This window comes from Homo sapiens, chromosome 15, assembly GCF_000001405.40.
Source record: "Homo sapiens chromosome 15, GRCh38.p14 Primary Assembly".
NCBI lineage: Eukaryota > Metazoa > Chordata > Mammalia > Primates > Hominidae > Homo > Homo sapiens.
Genome location: NC_000015.10, coordinates 67954806 through 67962122, shown reverse-complemented (window position 1 = coordinate 67962122; position 7317 = coordinate 67954806). Strand labels below are relative to the sequence as shown.

The 7317-nt window shown below is 43.1% G+C and overlaps 2 annotated features.

Moving 5' to 3' along the window:
• Positions 348-397: an enhancer, noted in NCBI's record as "active region_9640". NCBI's record gives its function as "activates an Ori minimal core promoter by ATAC-STARR-seq in GM12878 lymphoblastoid cells {active_cell/tissue: GM12878}" and the evidence as "EXISTENCE:reporter gene assay evidence [ECO:0000049][PMID:35858748]".
• Positions 6995-7074: an enhancer, noted in NCBI's record as "active region_9639". NCBI's record gives its function as "activates an Ori minimal core promoter by ATAC-STARR-seq in GM12878 lymphoblastoid cells {active_cell/tissue: GM12878}" and the evidence as "EXISTENCE:reporter gene assay evidence [ECO:0000049][PMID:35858748]".

Below are 7317 nucleotides of genomic sequence, written 5' to 3'. Positions count from 1 at the left end.
AGGTGACCTGATACTTGAATCAAGTCATGAGAGCTTGGCAGACTTCACTAAACACACACACACACACACACACACACACACACACACACACACACCTACACGGATCATTTAAGCACAAGCCAAGGGCCTATCTCAGGCATTTAGCTGTCCCTTGATCCTTTCATTGTATTTTGTCTTTTCTGGTCTACTCTATTCCCCAGGATTATCTGGGGGCTCCAGAAACTCCGCCCTTTTTAAACAAATGACTCATGCAGATTCATTTCAGAACCACAAGTTTTCTGGCTGCCCTGACCCCTCCCTTCTCGCCTGCTCTCCTGGGTCCCAGCTCTTGCTGGCAGCTTCAGCCCTATGCAGACTCAACCCCTTTCTCCCATCCCCCAGCATGGAAGACAGAGATCCCCTATACACAAAGTTAGAAGAGGAGGTTTGGACTCTCCCAACATTTGGAGTAATTGCCACAGCCCTGGGCAAAGGCTGCCAGCTTTGTGGAAGGTGTCTCTGGGGACTTCGCAGCTGGAGATTTGTCCTGTGAAAGAGGCAGAAAAGGAGTTGGAAGTGTTGCCGAGAATGAGGGCAGCTGACATACCTGGGCTACCATTCAGTTTTGCTTACCCAGGATTAAGTGGGGGAAGGTAAATTTGCCTTCTAGTGCTTGGGACTTCAAACCCCTACTCTCATTCAACACTCATTTGCATTCCTTGTCTAGAGTACAGCAAGCCTACAAAGCCAGGACATCAAAAGCCAAAAGAAGGGGGACTTGACCACAGCTGGGGAAGGATGTATTGAGACCCAGTTTTTAAGGACTATTCATGTGCTTTAAAGAGAGTTCCTCAGATGGCAGACTTTCAATCTAGTCCTTATAGCACCCTGGGTGTTACATTATTGCCAACATCTTTGCTTCAAATTGCCTATAAGCCATGACCACAGCCAGAGTCTGTGTACAAGTAGCTTCAGCTCTTTAAGTTTCATATTCTTCACCTGCAAAATGGTTCTAATAATAATATGTATTGCATAGGGAGTGATGAAGATAAAATTAGCTTGTGGAATCACTCTAGTACAGTGCCTAAAGCAAAATAGGCATATAACAGATCGATCAGTTATCACAAATGTCCTTACAATTGTACCATATTTTGTCATTGAGATATTTTAGAAAGTTAGTGAAAAACACATAAAGCAAAACCTCCCATAACTCAACTGTGCTTAGAAAGAAAGAACTATACAAAGTCTCACAAGACCCCACTTTCCACTTCTCAGATTAAACTGCTGTTAACCATTTGCTCTGTATTTATCCCTGCATACCTACCCATAAATCACTATTTCTTCATACTTTAAAAAAAGTGTAGAAATTGATTCATGCTGTTTATCCAATTTTTCAACAGGCTTTTTACACTTAATATACGATGAACATCTTTGTAGGTTAGTGTCTGTAGAGCCACCTCATTCTTTTTATCTACTGCCTAGGTTAACCATGCACCATGCATGGTTTATTTAAACATTCCCTTATTAACATTTCAGTTTTCCATTTTTGCTATTATATCCCAGAGCTACAATGAAAATCTCATCCATGTATCTTTATGCATGTGCATGAGTTTTTCTGTATGCCAGATTTCTAGAAGTAGATCTGCTGGATCACTGAGTAGGGCACATGGTAATGTTAATTGACATGGCCAAACTCTATTCCAAAAGGTTGTGTGATGTACCCTCCACTAACTATATCAATGCAGCCATTTTCTTACTCTTATCTGTCATTTTAGTTTTATCCAATCTGACAGACAAAAACCTGATTGTTTTATGTCATACGTCTTTGACTAAAGTAATGCTAAGCATAATTTTATGTCTTCTGGAGGTATGCATTTTCTCCTCTGTGAATTGTCTATTCAAACCTCAAACCATTTTTCTATTGGACCTTTCATATTTCCTTTTTAAACTGTAGAGCACTCTTTGTATAGGAAGGACATTTACCTTTTATCTGTTACATGTGTTGCTAATATTTTTGTCCACTCTGTCATTTGCCTTCTGACTTTGTTTATGGTATCTTTTTCCACTTATAGTTTTAAGATATTTTATGTAGTCAGATGTGTTCATTTTTCCTTTATGACTTCTAGATTTCTCCTCCACTTGTTTAGAAAGCCTTTGTTTTCTGACTTTCTTGAGCCCACTGCTACAATCTCCATCCACTCTCCCATGACAGCTGGCAATGAATGTCCTCACTGAGCCTGGCTCTGTCTCTCAGGCCAGCACCTTGGGTTCTTTATCTATCAACACAGTGTAATAATGTTTGGTGCTGGGAAGTATTACATTGTGTCAGAAGAACACAGAGAATGGAAAGAGTTAAGGAGGGAAGACAGTCTGAGAAGTCAGTGGAAGAAGTGGATGGGGGTGTGTGTACCTGAAGAGTTGAGAAAGCAAAGAAGAGGAAAGAGAGATTCCATGACCTTGACCTGAGCATCTAAAAGCTGTGCTAGCTGATACTCTGAGTAGGATTTTTAAAGCCAGTAGCAACTTGAAATTGTTTTTTTTTTCTTTTTCCAAACCCATTTCATTCTTTACAAGCATGATACAGTGACTAGTCCTCACACCTGGGAGACAATATAAAAGCCTCCTGCCAGACCCAAAATAAAAGGAAAAGAAACTGGCCAGGCATGGTGGCTCACGACTGTAATCCCAGCACTTTGGGAACCTGAGGCGGGTAGATTACGAGGTCAGGAGTTAGAGACCAGCCTGACCAACATGGTGAAAACCCGTCTCTACTAAAAGTACAAAAGTTAGCTGAATGTGGTGGCACATGCCTGTAAACCCCGCTACTCTGGAGGCTGAGGCAGGAGAATCACTTGAACCCGGGAGGCGGAGGTTGCAGCGAGGTGAGATCACACCACTGCACTCCAGCCTGGGTGACAGAGTGAGACTCCATCTCAAAAAAAAAAAAAAAAAGGAAAAGAAGCTGGAAAATAGGACCTCAGCTCAAAAGCATGTTTCCTCTTGAGTGCATTTTAATATCTATACCAGGTTCCATATATCAAATGCTTAAATTTTTAAAAAGTGTTCTAGAAAATAAGGATACTCTGGTTAGAGTAAGTGAAAGTTCTTTACCTCTCCACAGTTTGCCTCTTAAACAAATAAACCAAAACAGCCCACACAGCCACATGCAAGGGAACAACTAGGCAGCACCAACTTTCCTTCTAACAGTCATGGAAGTCAGCAGGACATGGTTAGGAGTCATTTGGAATTACTGTAGCTCCATGCTGGCAGCATTGCCCAGTGGCCCCTGACTCTGAGGTTTCACCATCAGGCAACAAAGCCACTCTGCCTCCACGGCTACTCCTCCTACAGCCTCGCTCTACCTAAGGGCTTGCTTGCTGCCTTATCTCTGCATGGGTTAGCCTCAACCTCCTCAGCATGGGATGTCCTCTTGAGACTCACATTCAAACTCTCCAAAAGAGAGGATTTGATTGGTTCCATTGGTTTCTGATGTTCTTTGGAGACTGACTCCTTGGCTTTCAGTCTATAGCCAACTGTTGTTGGGTTTGCTGTCCATCTCTGCTCCATGGTGGCAGGGTCAAATGATCGGCTTTCTTCAAAAGGAGCTCCACATGGGCAGGTGCTCCAAGAGTAAAATAATCTGTTTCCCAGTACTGACTTGTTCCAGCTGCATACACTACTACAAGATTTGACATCTGTCTTCCCAGTTTATAGATTAGAAGCAATTAACAATAAAGAGGGGAAATGGAAAATGAGAAAGCATTTACAGTCATTAACCAAACATTACTAATGAACCAACATTTATTAATCACTTTCTAAGCAATAAGATCTGGCTGCTAAAAGCATAGCGTGAGGAAACAGGCCAACAATTATAATATAAAAAATTATAATTGAGATATAAGAACTGAAGAGGCTAGCAATTGGGGCCATTTAATGTCAGGGCAAGTTTTGCATCCTTTCGTAAGCCCAATCTGCTCCCATTTTAAAGCACTAAATAAAAGCTAAGATTCAAAATAAATCTGAGCCATGAAAATATTAAGCTGGGTTCTAAAGACTCAACTCAGTGGATAAGAACAACTTAGGTTTTTTATTACTGCTCTGTCACCACCCCTTCAACAAAAATCATCTACAGGCCAATTTGTGTGATCTCTGTACAGACATCAGGCTTTTAATGCTTTTTCATAGTCTATCCCAGACACTCTTGGGACTCTTGGGTTTAGGCAGAGGCTCTTGGCATAAATTTCAACCCTACATGTCAAAACAAATGTTCATGTTCCACACCCATTATCTTCACTAATAACTACAGCTGCTGCTGCTGCTATTAAAATTAGCACATACAGGGTGTCAACACTGTCCCAGGCACTTTACATAGATGAACCCTCTCAATATAGTATTATGCCCACTTCGAAGATGAGAAACTCAGGCAGGTGCCTGGGAAGGTGTGTTGGCCCCATGGGGTGGGACAGATGTCAACGCTTGGAGAAGTCAGCCAGGCTGGGAATCCAAGCTACACTTCCTCATTCCAGTAGGATGAGGAGCAGCCTAAGTGGATGGCTCTTCCTCAGGCTTTCTCCTTTTTGGTCTCCTTAAATATCTATAAAGCTTTTGTTGCTGTTGTTGAAGTTCTAGGGAAAGCATGAAAGAGAAGCAGCAACACCCTGTGGGCAGGAGGCAGTAGCATTCAGGGTGAGAAGTGTCCTCTCAGGAAACACTGTCAAGGCTGGCCAACTGCCCTCTCCCACTGGTCTTACTGCTCTCTTTTTGAGATGGAGTCTTGCTCTTGTCTCCCAGGCTGGAGTGCAATGGCGAGATCTTGGCTCATTGCAAACTCCGCCTCCGAGGTTCAAGTGATTCTCCTGCCTCAGCCTCCCGAGTAGCTGGAATTACAGGCATGCGCCATCACACCCAACAAATTTTGTGTTTTTAGTAGAGATGGGGTTTCACCATGTTGGCCAGGCTGGTCTCAAATTCCTGATCTCAAGTGGTCCGCCAACCTCAGCCTCCCAAAGTGCTGGGGTTACAGGTGTGAGCCATGGCGCCTGGCTCTCCCTGCTGTCTTACTCCAGCTATACTCCTTCCACAGACGACTTTGGAGGTCCTGGGTTTTGCTTGGAGGTTCTGGGTTTTGCTCTCAGGAGGGAAACAAGGTTCCTTTCATATCTGTGATACGTACATTTGCCAGATAATTCAAGTTGGGATATTCTAAACAACCATTTCTTTAGATTTTTCTAAGCTCAATCTTGTATCTATTTGGATTCTCAGAAATCTTTCTGGTTATAGAATGTTTGTTTCTTTTAAAAAATCCAGGATCATTATTAAAAGCAACTAAAACTAGCCATTCTCATTTAGGATCCCTGCAGGGGATCTATACAATTTGAGGTGAGTTTAATACAGGGACTATTTACAAAGTTGTGCAGACAGAGCTTAGGGAGCCCACCAAAGGACACTGACACACCCTGGGGCTAGCAAAAGAGGGGAGCAGTTATCATTCAGAGGCCTGGAGGGGAGAGAGGAGACAGTAGTTACCAGTACCAAGACAGGGTGGCCTGAGGTAGAGGAATGAAGATAAAGCATGGTGACTTGGAAAGGAAGAAACCAAGGAAATACATCCCTTTCCTCTGGCCCTCCTCCTATCTCCTGCCAGTATTTCTCATTTGCCAAACTCTACCGGAAGGCTGAGAACCAGAGAGGCCACTGACATAGTCCATGGAAGTCAGCCCCTCCTGGGGCACAGAGTAGGGTGAGAAAAGATTGGAAATGGACATGGATATGGAGGGGCAAATGGAAGATACCCAAGGCTTCCATTATTAATGAGCATCGACAACAATATTAATCATTTCCATTTAAGTCCCTGCTTTGTGCCCTTCATACCAATCTTGCATTTTACAGATAAGAAAATGATGGTTCACAGGTTAGTGTTCTCGAGTGTCCCTGTAGATTAGAAGTCAAGATAACCCTGCAAGAGGGAAATTAATAAGGATCAAAACAAAAACGGATGATCTCAGCCATCTAGATATGTTAGCTATCTGTTGCTGCTAATGAATTTTCCCCAAATTTAGTAGCATAAAACAATAAACACTTAGTATTTCACACAGTCTCTGTGGGTCAGGAACAGCTTGGCTGGGCGGTTCTAACTCGGTCTCCCATGAGATTTTCAAGAAGTTGACCAGGTCTGCAATCGTCCGAATGCTGGATGAGGCCTGGAGAATCCACTTCCTAGGTGGCTCTTGCACCTGGCACCATGATTTGAATATCTGTCTTTAAATTTAACTGACATTGTCATAGTATTAAGAGGTGGAACATTAAGAGGTTATTAGGTCGTAATGGCTCTGCCCTCAGAGGTGGGATTGATACTGTTACAAAAGGATGAGTTCATCCCCTCTTTTTCTCTCTCTTTGCCTTGCTGCCATGTGATGACACAGCAAGAAGGCCCTTGCCAGATGCCGCTGTCTTAATCTTGGACTTCCTAGTGTGTAGAACTGTGAAGAAATAAATTACTGCTCTTTATAAATTACCCGGTCTCAGGTATTCTGTTAGAGCAGCACAAAATGCATGAAGACACTCACCCTGCAAGTTAGTGCTGGGTTTTAGCAGGAAACCTCAGTTCCCACCACGTGGACCTCTCCACAGGACTAGTTGAGTGTCTTCATGAAATGGCAGTTGGCCTACCCTGAATGAATAATTCAAGAAAGCCAGACAGGGAGGAAGCCACATTCCCTTTTAAGACCTAATCACAGAAGCTGCACGCACTGTTACTTCTGCCACATGCTATTCATTACAAGTACGTCACAAAGTCCGGTCCACCCTCAACAGGAAGGGAATTAAGTTCCATCTTTTTTTCTTTTTAAGAGACAAGGTCTCGCTCTGTGGCCCAGGCTGGAGTGCAGTGGCATGATCATAGCTTACTGCAGACTTGAACTCCTGGACTCAAGTGATCCTCCTGCCTCAGTCTCCTGAGTAGCTAGGACTACAGGTACATGCCACCATGCTCAGCTAATTTCATCACTTGAAGAGCAGAGTAGTAAAGAATTTTTAGGCGTATTTTAAAACCACCATATGTCACAATAGCAATATTGAAGACATTGTGGTTATATAACTGAAGAATTTGGGGAGGACTTGAAACTGCACTGAAACATGACCATCACCAAACAAGGTGAAACCTCCCGAGCACACTGTGTACTGCCTGAAGAAAGAGCTGGCAGAAGAGGAATAGTTTCCCAGGCATCTGTGCAAAGATGGCCCAGGGGAAAATGCTGCACAGGAAATGGTGATCCTAGTGAACACAAGCTTTCCGATAAAAGGAGAGGCATACTTGGTTTAGGAACAGGAACCTGTCAT